Below are 15,684 nucleotides of genomic sequence, written 5' to 3' on the forward strand. Positions count from 1 at the left end.
TTTTTTTTTTGAGATGGAGTCTCGCTGTGTCACCCAGGCTGGAGTGCGGTGCTGCAATCTTGGCTCACTGCAACCTCCGCCTCCTGGGTTCAAACAATTCTCCTGTCTCAGCCTCCCGAGTAGCTGGGAATACAGGTTTGTGCCACCACACCCAGCTAATTTTTGTATTTTTAGTAGAGACAGGATTTCACCATGTTGGCCAGGATGGTCTTGGTCTCTTGACCTTGTGATAAGCCCGCCTCGGCCTCCCAAAGTGCTGGGATTACATCCGTGAGCCACCGCGCCTGGCCCCTGAATTATATAACTTTTAGGGAAGCATTTTCTGTTTTTGTTTTTATCAAATAGTTGTCCTCCATCAAAAAGCTGTATCTTTCACATTTTATGAATGCCCTCCCCATATATATATGTGGAATAGTATCACTTGAATTGCATCGTATTGATCTAATTTAGAGTAACTGCTTGATTTATTTGAAAGTTAAGACTACAGTGTGTTCATAATTCATGTCAATTTATGGGGCTTAATTTCTGTCTCATGAGTTAGTGCCATAGAGTCTTTGAATCTCTTCAGAATTTCCATTACCTGGGATCCCATACCTCTTGTCTGGCTGTTCCCATTAATGTGCTTTTTTTGGACCGCAAACATGTCATGTCAGATGGTTAATGGAAAGATGAGATTAAAACACACCACAAGACTCTGTGCATATGGAAATCTGAACTCACGCTATGAATTGGTGATTATTAAAAGCACAAAAAATTATTAATTTAAGAAATGAAAAGTATAAGCGTCCTATTTCAGTATAACTTGCCCTGGTATGTTTAAGTATGAAGTGCATGTGGAGAGTCTCATAAAATTTAAAGATAAATTTTAGGAACCAAAAGCAATTGTACATTAATAAGGATTAATATTAGGCATATCAAAAATTCTGTGAAATTAAAAATTAAAAATTCTGCTTGTTAAACCTCAAATTCCCCTTTCTAAAATAGGATAGGGAAAGGTGGAAAAAACTAATCATGCAAATAGCTTTTAATTATCCTCACCATTTTTAAAAGTAATAGCATACTTTTAAAATACATAATTCACTCATTTAATAGAATGGAATTGTTGGATTACAAATCTGCATTTACCTTTCTGAGGAACTGCCCAAGTACTTTCCAAAGCAACTACACCATTTTACTTTCCCACCAGTAATGTATGACATTACCAGTTTCCCCACATCAACCCAGCACTCGTTCATTATTCATCTTTTTGATTATAGCCACCCTAGTGGGTGTGAAATGGGTGGTTTTGATTTGCATTTCTCTAATAGATAATAATGCTGAGCATCTTTTCATATGCTTATTGGCCATTTGTGTATCTTCTTTGTGGGGAAATACCTATTGAAATATACCTAATGTAAACCTTACCATTTTAACTATTTGAAGTGTACAATTTATTGCCAGTAAGTACACTCACGATGTATGTTACCATCACTATCATCCATCTGCAGAACTTTTCATTTACACAAACTTGAAACATTGTACACATTAAAGAATAAGTCCCTTCACCTTCCTCCCCACAGTTCCAGACGACTCTAAATTGACTATTCTTGATAGCTCATATAAGTGGAATCATACAATAGTCGTTCTTTTTGTGTCTGGCTTATTTCACTTTGCATAATGCCATCAAGCTTAATCCATGTCAGAATTTCTTTCAGATTAAAGACTGGATAATATTCGTGTGTGTGTGTGTGTTTATCTCTCACATTTTGCTTATCCATTCATGTGCTGTTGGCACATTTGGGTTGTTTTCACCTTTTGGGGATCTATGGAGAAATGGGATTCCTGAATCATAGGGTGGTTTCATAATTTTTGTTGTTGTTGTTGTTGTTGTTTTTGGAGCAACCAAACTGCTTTCCACAGTGACTGCATTGTTCCTACCAGCAATGCACAAGAGTTTTGGTTTCTTGGCTGGGGGCAGTGGCTCACGCACTTTGGGAGGCTGAGGTGGGCTGATCACGAGGTCAGGAGTTCGAGACCAGCCTGGCCAACATGGTGAAACCCCGTCTCTACTAAAAATACAAAAAGTTAGCTGGACGTAGTGGTAGGCACCTGTAATCCTAGCTACTTGGGAGGCTGAAGCAGGAGAATTGCTTGAACCCAGGAGGCAGAGGTTGCAGTGAGCCGAGGTTGCACCACCACTCTCCAGCCCTGGCAACGGAGTGACACTGTCTCAGAAAGGAAAGTTTCAGTTTCTCTACATCCTTGGCCAGCCAATACTTGTTCACTTGTTTTTTAGATAATAGCCAACCCTAATGGGTGTAAAGTGGTATTGTGATTTGGATTTACATTTCCCCAAGATTAATGGTGTTAAGCATCTTGTGTGTTTGCTATTTGTATATCTTCTTTGGAGAAGTGCGTATTTAAGTACTTTGCCCATTTTTAAATTGGGTCATCTTTTTTGTTAAGTTGTAGGTGTTCTTTATATAATCTGGATATTAACCCCTTATCAGATAAAAGATTTGCAAATATTTTCTCCCATTTCACGATTTGACTTTCTGCTCTGTTGATAGTGTCCTTTGATGCACAAAATTTTAAATTTTGATGTAATTCAATTTATCAATTTTGTTGCTTGTGCTTTTGGTATCACACAGTATCTTTAAGAGACAGGGTCTTGCTCTGTCGCTCAGGCTGGATTCCAGTGGTGTGATCTTGGCTTACTGCAGCCTCTACCTCCTGGGCTCAAGCAATCCTGTTGCCTCGGCCTCTTGAGTAGCTGGGACTACAGGTGCATACCACCATGCCTAATTTAAATTAATTAGTAATTAATTATTTTGTAGAGACGGAGTATTGCTGTTTGCCCAGGCTGGCTTCCAACTCCTGGGCCCAAGTGATCTTCCTGTCTCGGCTTCCCAAAGTGCTGGGATTACAGGCGTGAGCCACCACACCTGGCCTCGTATAATATTTTTATGTCGACACTGGTTGCCTTCAGAATATTTTGGGACTATATCAGGAAGCTTTCAAGCTCACAGTGAAGAATAAAAATTGTCCAGACTTTTAGTTTTTTGCTTAGAAGTTCAAATTTTTATCATTGGTAACAAATACTGTCAGTTATTTATCTTGAAATGACAGGTTCACTTTATTTATTTTTGAGAAAATGTCTACCACATTCTCCTAATTTTTTTTTTTTTTTTGGAAATGGAGTCTTGCTCATCGCCCGGGCTGGCGTGCAGTGATGCAATCCTCAGCTCACTACAACCTCCACCTCCTCAGTTCAAGTGATTCTCCTTGCCTCAGCCTCCTGTGTAGCTGGGATTACAGGCATGCACCACCCCGCCTGGCTAATTTTTGTATTTTTAGTAAAGACAGGGTTTCACCATGTTGGCCAGGCTGATCTCGAACTCCTGACCTCAGGTGATCCGCCTGCTGGGTTTACAGGTGTGAGCCATCACACCCAGTCTGCTAATCTAAATAAGCTTTATTTGTGTGGCAGTCCTTTCAGGTTAAAATGCTGTTCTATGAAAAATAGCTAGTTCAGCTGGCAGCGGTCTAAATAAAGGTATTGTTCTTTGAGAATCTCATACCTCTTTGATATGCAGCATAATTTTTTTAATACCTGTTTCTCATTTTGTTACACAGAATATGTAAAAGATGTATTCAAGGGTTGGGATTTAATGAAATTAGTAATTTTTATATCTTTTACACTTTAAGTGGAACAGATTTTTAAAATTACGAGTTTGTGAAAATTCTGGCTTCTGCTACAGCTAGTAATACAGTTTGGTGCTGCTGTCCTGACTCTTGCTACATGGATTATCAGTTTTATCCACCTTGCTTTTATACCATCAGTGCACACATTAACAGTGAACTAGTCAGCCCTTATTCTTTTGACAATAGCTTTGACCTCTTGGACCACAATTTGAAAACTGCTACCCTAGTTTATAGGGTTGCTGCATGGGATGGAAGGTGATTACAGATGGGCTCCCGTTAATTTGTGTAAATTTGTTTAAGTAGTCAACCTGTGTAAAGAGATTGATCTGCTGTCACTAATGGTAGTACTGTCTGCCTGAGGAAATGGTTAGCATTCCTGACTCCCGTGTCTCCTGGAATTTACACTATTCAGGCAGGTATCCTCACAAAATTTCCTTTTATATTACTGGTGAAATGTGAGGAAAGAGGGATAAAAAGGTGTTTATGTTAATTTGATAAATGAATAGATGTGAAAAGTACCTAAGCAAATTATGTATTTTTATTGTGCAAGTACTGGTTGGATAGAACCTGTGATTATGTGCCTTAATCATAGGTACATGCCTTTTGTCTCTTAAGTGACAAAAGAGCCTGAAGATATTAACTGAAAGGGGAAAAAAAAGGAGAAAGTAAAGTTTATTTTGTTATTTAGTAGATAATAGACAAATTTTACTAGTCCATGCAAACATTGTAACTTGGATGATTAAGGTATGGATTCATTCTGACTTAATAGGATAGTGTAACTAATGCCCACCTGGTTAGGTTTGTTATGAGTGAAAGAGTCAAAATATTATTTTAAACATACTAAGAATAGGACCTAACACACCATAGACTTTCAGGCAGAGGTAGTTCATTTAAAAGATCTAAATGAGAGATCTGGGTTTTGTTTGGGTTGGGAGTTGGATAGCATCAGGATGGAGCTTGTGATAAATGAGGCATGATGTGTGCTCTTCAATGACGGCATTCTCATTACTAATTATTCACATCTTAATTTTGTTAGTATTAGTGTCATAGTATATTTTATATTTGTGTTTTGTGTTCAAGAATTGTGAAGCTACATGGTATTATATATTTTTTAATTTTTTGCTTATAGGATTCAGTGGTCCCAATTTAAAGGCTATTTTATTTTCAAACTGGAGAAAGTGATGGATGATTTCAGAACTTCAGCTCCTGAGCCAAGAGGTCCTCCCAACCCTAATGTCGAATATATTCCCTTTGATGAAATGAAGGAAAGAATACTGAAAATTGTCACTGGATTTAATGGGTATGCACTTAATACTGTTTTAAAGATTTAATTTTTAGCAGAAGATGAATAGATTTTTCTTTTAGTTTTGATGTGTCTGGTTGATGATTGATTATCCATTAGAATAAATTCCTTGTTTCTAGTGACATGTAGTAGTTGATGATTTTTAGCTTACAACTATTTAAAATATTTGTAGCCTCTTAAAAAACTTGAACCACCTTTTTATAGGTATCAGTGGAAACAGTCATTTATCAGGAAACATTTTAATGGTTTTTCTTTCCTGTTTTATATTTGGTGTTATGTCTTCATACTTTATATAGAACCTTTATATCATTGAGAAATCACATTTCTTTTAAAACGAAATACTAATTTATGGAAGTATTTTAGTGAGTTTTTGTTTAGACTTTTTTTGGAGTCATCATTTCTCTCCTAAGTAACGGCTTGCTTGTTAGTTACAAGTAACCATTTTTGGCCGCTTGTAAAACATTAAAAACACTAAAAAGATATTCTGTACAAAAGTAAAACTCCCCGGTTTTTTTGTTTTGTTTTGTTTGTTTTTGAGAAGGTGTCTCGCTCTGTCACCTAGGCTGGAATACAGTGGCGTGATCTTGGCTCGCTGCAGTCTCTGTCTCCTGGGTTCAAGCAATTCTCCTCCCTCAGCTTCGCGAGTAACTGAGACTGTAGGCGCATGCCACCACACCCGGCTAATTTTTGTATTTTTAGTAGAGACAGGGTTTCACCATGTTAGCCAGGATGGTCTCGATCTCCTGACCTCATGATCCGCCTGCCTCGGCCTCCCAAAGTGCTGGAATTACAGGCGTGAGCCACCACGCCCGGCAGTACTCATTTTTAAAGAAATGTTACTGTGTCTCATACTCTGTCATTTTAAATTCTATTTTTGTAGGACTTTGTTTTTTGTTTTATTTTGTTTTGTTTTGAGACAGAGTCTCGCTGTCACCCAGGGTGGAGTGCAGTGGCATGATCTCGGCTCACCGCAACCTCCGCCTGCCAGGTTCAAGCAATTCTGCCTCAGCCCCCCGGGTAGCTAGGCTAGGACCACAGGTGCGCGCCACGGTGCTCGGCTAATTTTTTTATTTTTTAATAGAGATGGGGTTTCACCATGCTGGCCAGGCTGGTCTCCAACTCCTGACCTTGTGATCCGCCCACCTCAGCCTCCCACAGTGTTGGGATTACAGGCGTGAGCCCCCGCGCCCAGCCAGGACTTTGTATTTTTACGGTTTCCTTTATTGAAGGGAAGAAGTGTTTGTGAAGTTGAATTATTCGATATTTAGTTTGGCGTTAACTTAGGGTGTGGAACAACAATACCAAATATAATGAATTGTGGTTTTTCTAACCAGTGAATTCATAGTTAGAATTAGATAGTATTTGAAGGGTTTCAGTTGTATTTTTAGATGGCATAAATGGCTTGATTCTTTAGGTATTTAATTGCATGGGATTTTGAAATAAGATAGTGTAATCCAGTTAACGGTTTGCTTTATATCATATTCCACTGTTTTTAGGTTTAAGAATTTTGCTTGAAATGTCAAACCCTTAGGCCTTGACTTGGGGTCTGTTACAAAAATATTTTGTGGGGGAGAAATCATAGCTTTTGTCTTTGAGGTTCATCAGTTATAGTTACCCCTGGGGGCCTGGGATGGGAAGGAGACCTATTTTCACTGTGCACCCTGTTGGACTGTTGAAATTATTTAACCAATATGTGTATATTTCCATATCAATATTTTAAAATTTTTCAGAAAAAGGAAAAAAAACATTTTAAAGGCACTTATCCAAGAAATAGCCACATGATACATTTTAGAAGCATGTTGCATAAGATTTACTGTTGAACTAAATGAATACATTCAAGATTAGAATACTTCTCGGGGCCAGGTGTGGTGGCTCACGCCTGTAATCCCAGCACTTTGGGAGGCCGAGGTGGGCAGATCACTAGGTCAGGAGATTGAGACCATCCTGGCTAACACGGTGAAACCCCGTCTCTACTAAAAATACAGAAAAATCAGCTGGGCGTTGTCGCGGACGCCCATAATCCCAGCTACTCGGGAGACTGAGGCAGGAAAATGGGGTGAACCCAGGAGGCAGAGCCTGCAGTGAGCCAAGATCTCGCTACTGCATTTCAGCCTGGGTGACAGAGTGAGACTCCATCTCAAAAAAAAAGAGAATACTTCTCGGGGTTATTTATAAATTGTACATATATATAAATAGTACTTAGACATAGTGAGTCGTCTTTTATTTCAATAAATTATGGCCGTCATTCAAAAATAAAAGTTAAGGTGAAACAGGTCAAATTATACTGCTGCTTTGTAAGCATATTTACTTGTTATTCTGAATTAGTAATAGCAAATACCATTTTCAGTTCATTCACATTAAGTTGGGCTAGAAACAAATACATGTATTATATATTATATATAAATATAATAAAATTAATATTGTGTATTATTTATTACATAAATCTAAATATTTGTAATTTCTTAATCTGTAAAAGAGGTAATTCACCTACTTCAGAAAATGATTTGAACAGTCATTAAATGCCTGAGCATTCTTCTTTTACAACTTTATTTTTGAACCGTATTTTGAAATTTTGTTTTGTTTTGTTTTATTTTATTTATTTAGAGATGGAGTCTTTGTCACCCAGGCTGGAGTGCAGTGGCACCATCTGGGCTCACTGCAACTTCCGCCTCCCAAGTTCAAGCTATTCTCCAGCCTCAACCTCTCGAGTAGCTGGCATTACAGGGTGCATCACCACACCCAGCTATGTTTTTTTTGTTTGTTTGTTTATTTGTTTTGTAGTTTTAGTAGAGACGGGGTTTTACCATGTTGGCCAGGCTGGTCTGGAACTCCTGACCTCAAGTAATCTACCTGCCTCAGCCTCCCAAAGTGCTGGGATTACAAGCTTGAGCCACCGCGCCTGGCCCGAACTTACATTTTTTAAATTTGATTTTTCAGTTTATGAATCACTTTCTCTGAGCAGGCAGAATCTAAGTCTTATTTAATCAGTGATACATCAAGATTTTTCTATTTTTAATTTACTCTTTTTTTGTCTGTATTTTAATATATTGGTATGTTGAAACATGTTTACAAAATGTTCAATTTTTGTGTTTTTTATATATATATAGTTTTTTAAAATATTTACTAAGAAGTAACATTTTGTTGGTTTTCCACCAGTTTGAGGGTTTGTCCATTCTTATACACTCCTCCCCCCATTTGTAATAGATAATCTTTAAATTACAAAAGCGGTGTATGTTCACGCTTTTAAAAAGATCCCCACTGTTACAGAAGTACATAAAGAATGAAAGTAGAATCATGCTATATGCTAGTGGTATTTTCCTTTTAGAGAAGCTTCAACATGTCTATATTAGTACATTTAAAGCTATCTTTTTATTTATTTGAAATGGCTACATTGTTTTCTATTATGTGAATAATAGGTTTTTATTTGCCTGTCCTGATTGATGGTAGGCATTTATTTTTTTGGCTGTTAACAAGCAGTGCTTGTAGTGAGCATCCTTCCACGTATCTTTTGTTGATGAATGTCATGTTTTGAATATACGTATAGATTGTTGCCTTTTTTTTATTTTTTTCTGGAGACAGAGTTTCGCTCTTGCTGCTCAGGCTGGAGTGCAATGGAACGATCTCGGCTCACCACATCCTCCCCCTCCTGGGTTCAGGCGATTCTCCTGCCTCAGCCTCCCGAGTAGCCGCGTTTACTGGCATGCGCCACCACACCCGGCTAATTTTTGTATTTTTAGTAGAGATGGGGTTTCTCCATGTTGGTCAAGCTGGTCTTGAATTCCAGACCTCAGGTGATCCACCCACCTTGGCCTCCCAAAGTGCTGGGATTACAGGCATGAGCCACCGCACCTGGCCAGATTGTTACTTTTTTTAATTTGTAGAAATGTAATTGCTAGGTTAGCTTATGAACACTTAATTTTCAGTTTATCAGTGCTGCAAAATTGACTTAGCAAAATGTGGTTGTTGATGCTTTCTTTTGTAATAAGTGCAGATATTGTAATTCTTCGGTACTGTATATGTGTCTGTATTTGTGTTTCTTTGATTGCAAGTGAAATGGAACATCTTTTTGTGTACTTACAGCCTTTCTGTGAATTGCCCTTTATATCTTCTTTTGACTTTCTTTTGCTAATTTTCTTACTGGTAAGTTTTTGTTGTTTTTGCTTTTAGTTTGTAAAAGTTTTATATTAAATGCTTCCTAGTATTTTGCCGTAAGAAAGATTATCCGCTTTCTAAAATTATTTTAGTATATTACCAAAGTACAAGTTTGTTTGTTTGTTTGGTTTTCGAGATGGAGTCTCGCTCTTTGCCCAGGCTGGAGTGCAATGGCTCAATCTCAGCTCATTGCAACCTCCGCCTCCCGGGTTCATGCCATTCTCCTGCCTCAGCCTCCCCAGTAGCTGGGACTACAGGCACCCGCCACCACGCCCGGCTAATTTTTTGTATTTTTAGTAGAGATGGGGTTTCACCCTGTTAGCCAGGATGGTCTCGATCTCCTGACCTTGTGACCCACCCACCTCGGCCTCCCAAAGTGCTGGGATTACAGGCGTGAACCACTGCGCCCGGCCAAAGTACAGATTTTTCCCTCTTTGAAGTGGAAATTGTCCATGCACTTGTTTACTTGATTTCCTGAACTATAAGCTTCTGGAGAGCTGGGGTAACAGTCTTTTCCAAACAAGGCCTAGAAGAGTGAGTGCCTGAATATAGTAGGTTCTTAAACAGACAAGTATGGAATGACTAGGTGCGTGGATGGATAAATGAATGAATGAGTAAAGAAAAGAATATTGAATAACTGGGGACTAGAAAAAAAAGAATAAAAGTATATTTATATCTATTTTGTCTATTGAGGCATAGAAGAATCACAATGGAATGCTTAATTTCTTTCTTTTCTTTTTTTTTTTGGTCATTTTCTTGTCTTTTAAAATTACTTTGGAACTTTAAAATTTCATAGAAGATGGATTATAACTACTCTCCAAAAGTGAAGTTACAGTTTGTCAGATGAGAAACACCAAAAATTAAAATGAACGAAACTAAAAATTTTAATGAAATGGTCAATTAAAAGACCATTTTATGCCCTCTGGAATTATAATAAAAAAGAGTATATGGGTTTACTCAAACCAGGGCCATTTATGAAAATCCTCCTCCTATTACAGAGACCATGAATATAATTTAGGAATTGCTAATAGGTAATGGTTCATTCCTATAATGGTATACACAAAGAGGCATTTTGTTGAGGGATAGAGAGCATGTAAGTTACATTCCTGGCAGTTTTAAAAGATACCATTTTATGTTCTCTGAATTTTTCAAAATGAAAGAATAATGAATATAAAAGTAAGTTAATCTCTCAAGTCTTGACCCTTTCTTGTCATTGCTGTTACCTCTAAGTCCTCTCTAAAGTAGGCAGTCGGCCTCCTCACTCTGTGAATAGTAAACTAAAATAGTGTTCCTATATATTTATGAGGAGGTCTGGAAAAAGTGGAAAACTTTTGATACCTAATAATCTTTATATCATCTGTTAAGCAGGTACAGTCAGTCACAGCTGAGAGTACTGCTCATGATCTTTTAAAGTTATATATGAGACTTTTATACTCCAAAGTCTGGATTGTAGAATAAAACAACCCACATTTGATTTTCAGTTTGTGTGTTGTTTGCTTTACGGTTAGCTCCAGATGATTCAGGGACTGAGAGAATGGGTCCTTAGCCGTTTATTACTTTGTTCTCTGACACTGTTGATTCACTTTATTGCTTCCTGATTTTTGTGCTCCCCAGTTGCCTGGGGAAAATAGGTTTTTGTGCTGTTAATTATTTGTGTCAGTGTTTGTTGAGTATATTAGTTAAAATGTACTTATTTGTGGCAGATTTCTGTCTCTCTCACATACACAAACCCACACCCACCCACCCCTACTTACTTGTTTTTTCTTTATCCCCTTTCTTTCTCTTAGAATAATTACTTGAGAATTAGCATGACTTTGTAACCATCCCTCCTTACTATTCCCCACCTGGTCTTGTCTAGTGGTAATATGGCTTGATGTGATACTCTCTTTAATAAACTTAAAAATTGAAATTAACAGAAAGCCTAATTAACTTTTTCTTGCTAGTTATATTTGATGCAAATAAAATAACAGTTCAGACTATAGGAACTCCAAGAGATGATTAACTTTATTAAAAGCTTTGACAATTGCTATAGATTAATTTTGGGTCAAGGAGTGGTGCAGACATTAGTTTACTTACATCATTGGGGTTCCTTATCATTATTAAAAGAGGCGAAATTAGCTGGGCGTGGTGGCTCACACCTGTAATCTCAGCACTTTGGGAGGCCCAGGCAGGCGGATCATGAGGTCAGGAGATGGAGACCATCCTGGCTAACACTGTGAAACCCCGTCTCTACTAAAAATACAAAAAATTAGCTGGGCGTGGTGGCAGGCGCCTGTAGTCCCAGCTACTCGGGAGGCTGAGGCAAGAGAATTGCTTGAACCCAGGAGGCAGAGGTTGCAGTGAGCCGAGATGGTGCCACTGCACTCCAGCGTGGGTGACAGAGCGAGACACCATCTCAAAAAAAAAAAAAAAAGCGAAATCTGTCATTTGATTTGAGACATAAGATTATATGTGTATGAATTTTCTTTTGGTGGGGACAGAGTGTTGCTCTATTACCTGGGTTTAAACAATTCTCCTGCCTCAAGCACCTGAGTAGCTGGGATTACAGGCATGCATCAACCATGCCCGGCTAATTTTTGTATTTTTAGTAGAGACAGGGTTTCGCCATGTTGGCCAGGCTGGTCTCGAACTTCTGACCTCAGGTGATCCACCCGCCTCGGTCCCCCAAAATGCTGGGATTACAGGCGTGAGCCGCCGTGCTCAGCTAATTTCGCCTCTTTTAATAATGATAAGGAACCCCAATGATGTAAGTAAACTAGTGTCTGCACCACTCCTTAACCCAAAATTCATAAATATAAATATTTATGAATGTGTATGTTTATGTAAATATTAAAGCCTGAGTAGAGAAAGAACATACTGCTTCAAGTAAAGCTAGTATCACAGGATTCTAATGGTATTTCTGACTTTTGTAAGACTTTGTAGGTGTAAACAAAATTATGAACTTAGTCTTTGGTAACAGAGATATTGTTAGTTTCCATGTTGACAGTTAAGTTTAACTCAGTATTTCTGTTAACTAAGACACCACTAATGTGGTCATTTAGTCAGAAAAGACAGTAAAATCCACATATACATGGGTAAAACAAAAGTGAATGACTGTTTTGACTTTTTTTTTAGTAGGATGTCAGATTTTTATGGTCATTTCTTTAGCTGTTTACTCCAGTAGCCTCTGTGCTACATGTTACATTCCTTTGTCTTTTTCATGTGGAAAAGTTGCTTATATAATTTAAAGTTAAGGTAGTTAAACTGATTTTTTTAGAGTCTGAATGAAGTGCGCACTTATTTTTTGAGTGCCTTGTCAACTTAGTACTTTTATAGAAATTTAGGTTAAAATACATGCTTAAGACATTATTTCTTTAGTGTTTAGCCTTATGACTTAAAATTTATCTTTTAAAAAATAGCATTGAATTGCTACTTTATGTTAAGATGTCTTTCCCTGATATTCAGCAACTTTCTTGGTATTTGAATTTCCATAGCTTTTAGGTGTACAAGACTTCTGCTTTTAAAAAAAAGTAAATAGGGACAGCTTGCATTTAAATTAAGATATATAAGGTAAAATGTGTGGTCCTATTAATTAGGGTAAGTTATTTTCCTTGGAATTAAAGGGAGTATTTTTAAAGACAGACCTATACTTTTGGTTTTGTTGGTCTTTGGACCATGTGTGCCTTCCCACAATCTCTATCAAAGAGTAGATGGAATGATGACAATAAGAACTAAGATTTATTGAACTTTCTGAAATATTTTAGGCACTGTTAGGTGATTTAATATACCATATACATTATGTCGTATTTAGTCGTCATGATAATCTTTGAAGTGTACTTGTAGAACCCTTGTTTTCAGACAAGACCCATGAGACCCATGAAGACTCAGGTAAATTCAGTTTTGAGTAAGGTCTCCTAGTGGGGTAGCGTGTGTGTGTGTGTGTGTGTGTGTGTGTGTGTGTGTGTATTAAAATATATATATATATTTAGCAAAGGTGGATCCTTAATGTGTGGGGCGGGGGGTTTAAAAAATGTTACTGGATGTTGTAGGCACTGTTTTAAAAAATTTGAGATGCTAGCTAGTCATGTCCTTTTTTCAGTTCCTTATATCATCTTAGTTTTCCATTTTACAATATGAATAAATCAGATGATATATCATTGCAGAGTAAACCAAACGCTTTTTTTTTTTTGGAGACAGTCTCACTCTTATCACCCAGGCTGGAGTGCAGTGGCTCAATCTCGACTCACTGCAACTTGCAACCTCCACCGCCCAGGTTCAAGCAATTCTTTTGCCTCAGCCTCCCGAGTAGCTAGGATTACAGGCCAGGCTGGTTCTTGAACTCCTGACCTCAGGGGATCGCCTGCTTCGGCTTCCCAAAGTCCTGGGATTACAGGCGTGAGCCACCGTGCCTGGCCCAGGGTTTTTTATTTTACAGTATAACTTTGCTAATGAACATCTGATCACCACTTCCCCCCAAATTTAAGGATTTCTGAATAGACTTTTCATTGAGAATGAGTGGCATGTGTGTTTAACGCTCCTCTCCCTATATTTGCTTTTCTTAGTATGTGTGGGAAAAGCCTTAATATTTTCAGAAGTTAGAATAAACTATTTTGTATGCTATGTCTAATGGATGAGTATCAGAGAGCAGAGCTTTCATATACTTGTACCAAATGCTTTCATTTTGTACTGGTTTTTCTGGTTTATTCTTGTGCCTCCTTTTAGAGGCCTACCTCACACTAAGTTTTCCCAGTGTCACGCTTACTAAGCTTGGCATACAGTTTATTCTGTCTCCATGGCACTTTTTATACAGTGTTGTTATTTATTACTGTAATTGTAATTATTTACATGTCTTTTGACTGCTGTTGAACAAGGTTGGTATTTCTAGTTTATAATAGGCTCTTATATTTATGGAATAAGTTTAAAAGTACAGTCTGTATGTAAAGAGACCTTTCAATGCTGTTACGTTCATTTATCATACTAATATTTCCAGTGGATCCATTGATTTGCAGAAAGTGTTTGGTTGGGATTTAGCCTGTCGTGTGAGAAAAGGAAGTGTTGTGTGACATTTTAGTGCCATCTATTGGATACTTGGTAAAATGACTTTTAAAGCTTCTTTTACTTTTTGAAATAAGGATCTTTTGAAAAAAGCTTCTGAAATTGTCTAAGAACTTAAACTCGTTTTATCATTGCTGGTATTGCTATGTAAACACATACCCCCCTCCCAAAGCAGTATTAATATTAAACAACACATAAAATATTAATAATTGGCTACAATTTAACTTACATTTCTAAAGAAAATTAGCCAAAGCATTCAGTGTACATGTTGTTAAACAAGAAGTTTTAAAATATTCATCTGTTAAAACTAATTTTAATTAGTGAGAAAACATTAGGTTTTAATGTGGGAAAGAATTTTAGTAGGAAGAAAAAGCATAATGACTAGACAGTATTTTTCAGTTAAGTACTATTTGAATACCCAAACACTTGTTGAATACCCAAACTGTTGGTGCTATTTTGTATATTTTGAATAATAAATTTTAATGACAGTATCACTATGGGGTGATTAATGAGGAAATAGCTTAGGTGTGTTGTGTGTGTAAGGTTTGAAGAGCCATGAACTAGAAGAGGAGCTAAGGTGAGTTATACCACTAATCTGAAATCCACGATAATACTGGGTTTCACGGACAGACAATTGAGAAACTAATACTGTTTGTTATACATGTGGAAAATGCTTAAACATTTTTAAAGTAGAGTTAGTTTTGTGTATTAGCTATAGATTTCTAATGGTTGTCTTTATAGGAATGAAACAAAAGATGTATAAGCTTATTGTTTCATACTTAGTAACGCTGTTGGTGTGCTTTGTACTTCCCCATTTAAAAGGATTCTTCATTTTGACATTGTACTTCACTCTGAGTAGATTTTCAAAAGCAAAAAAGTATTCTTCCTCAGAAACCCAGAGGAATTTCTAGTTGCTTCTGAATGTTTGGAATATCAGGCAAACATTTAATCTTTTATTCTGTGCCTTGTCTTTTGGTAGAACAGTTTTCTCACTTTTAGGTTTGGATTCGATTTTAGGTTTGAGACAAAAGATTGATTCTTGGACTCTCAAATTTATCTAAAAACATTTGTTCTCATATGAATAACATGCACTTTAAGCACTTTCAGAATTTTTTGCACATCTTATACTTTGAACATAAGAATAGTATTGACACAAAGAATATGAGAACCAAATGTAGTTTATCCAGTTAGAAAATAAACAACTATAATTTTGTAAAATACGTGTGGTACAATGGAAAGGACATGAGATTTGAAGTTAGAGAGACTGAGTTTGAGTCCTGGCATTTTAACTCACTAACTACTATACCTTGTGGTGGAAGAAAATTCTGTATCACACTGCCTATAAAAAATGAAGACCTTTGTGAATGTTAACTATTAATTTGAGGCTTTGTAATTCTTTTCATTAAAGAGAATAAATAGATTGGTATGGCAGACACTGAAGTCTGAAGATTTGTTTGTATTTGTTAGCTGCGTTTGTCGTACCTCGTGCTCATAACTTTGCTGTTCTGTTC

General features: G+C 37.2%; 1 protein-coding gene across 4 annotated transcripts in view, besides 3 other annotated features; it reads left to right on the forward strand.

Annotated features, from left to right (window-relative positions):
- PPP4R2 (protein phosphatase 4 regulatory subunit 2) overlaps window positions 1-15,684 on the forward strand; it is a 72,456-nt gene that overhangs the window by 45,630 nt on the left and 11,142 nt on the right. For 2 of the 4 annotated variants that reach the window (NM_001318026.2, NM_174907.4), the window contains exon 3: window positions 4,814-4,984. The exons of the other annotated variants lie outside the window; for them this stretch is intronic. In NM_001318026.2, the coding sequence (NP_001304955.1) occupies window positions 4,814-4,984 (171 nt within the window). The remainder of the gene's footprint in view (window positions 1-4,813; window positions 4,985-15,684) is intronic. 4 annotated transcript variants of the gene reach the window in all.
- Window positions 5,536-6,037: an enhancer, noted in NCBI's record as "H3K4me1 hESC enhancer chr3:73097059-73097560 (GRCh37/hg19 assembly coordinates)". NCBI's record gives its function as "activates a minimal SCP1, AML or CMV promoter by ChIP-STARR-seq in primed H9 embryonic stem cells {active_cell/tissue: H9 hESC(primed)}" and the evidence as "EXISTENCE:reporter gene assay evidence [ECO:0000049][PMID:30033119]".
- Window positions 9,466-9,760: an enhancer, noted in NCBI's record as "tiled region #10785; HepG2 Activating DNase matched - State 8:EnhW". NCBI's record gives its function as "activates a minimal TATA promoter and a strong SV40 promoter by Sharpr-MPRA in HepG2 cells {active_cell/tissue: HepG2}" and the evidence as "EXISTENCE:reporter gene assay evidence [ECO:0000049][PMID:27701403]".
- Window positions 13,283-13,483: a silencer, noted in NCBI's record as "peak4698 fragment used in MPRA reporter construct". NCBI's record gives its function as "represses an SCP1 promoter by STARR-seq MPRAs in K562 erythroleukemia cells {active_cell/tissue: K562}" and the evidence as "EXISTENCE:reporter gene assay evidence [ECO:0000049][PMID:32103011]".

Source organism: Homo sapiens, chromosome 3, assembly GCF_000001405.40.
Source record: "Homo sapiens chromosome 3, GRCh38.p14 Primary Assembly".
NCBI lineage: Eukaryota > Metazoa > Chordata > Mammalia > Primates > Hominidae > Homo > Homo sapiens.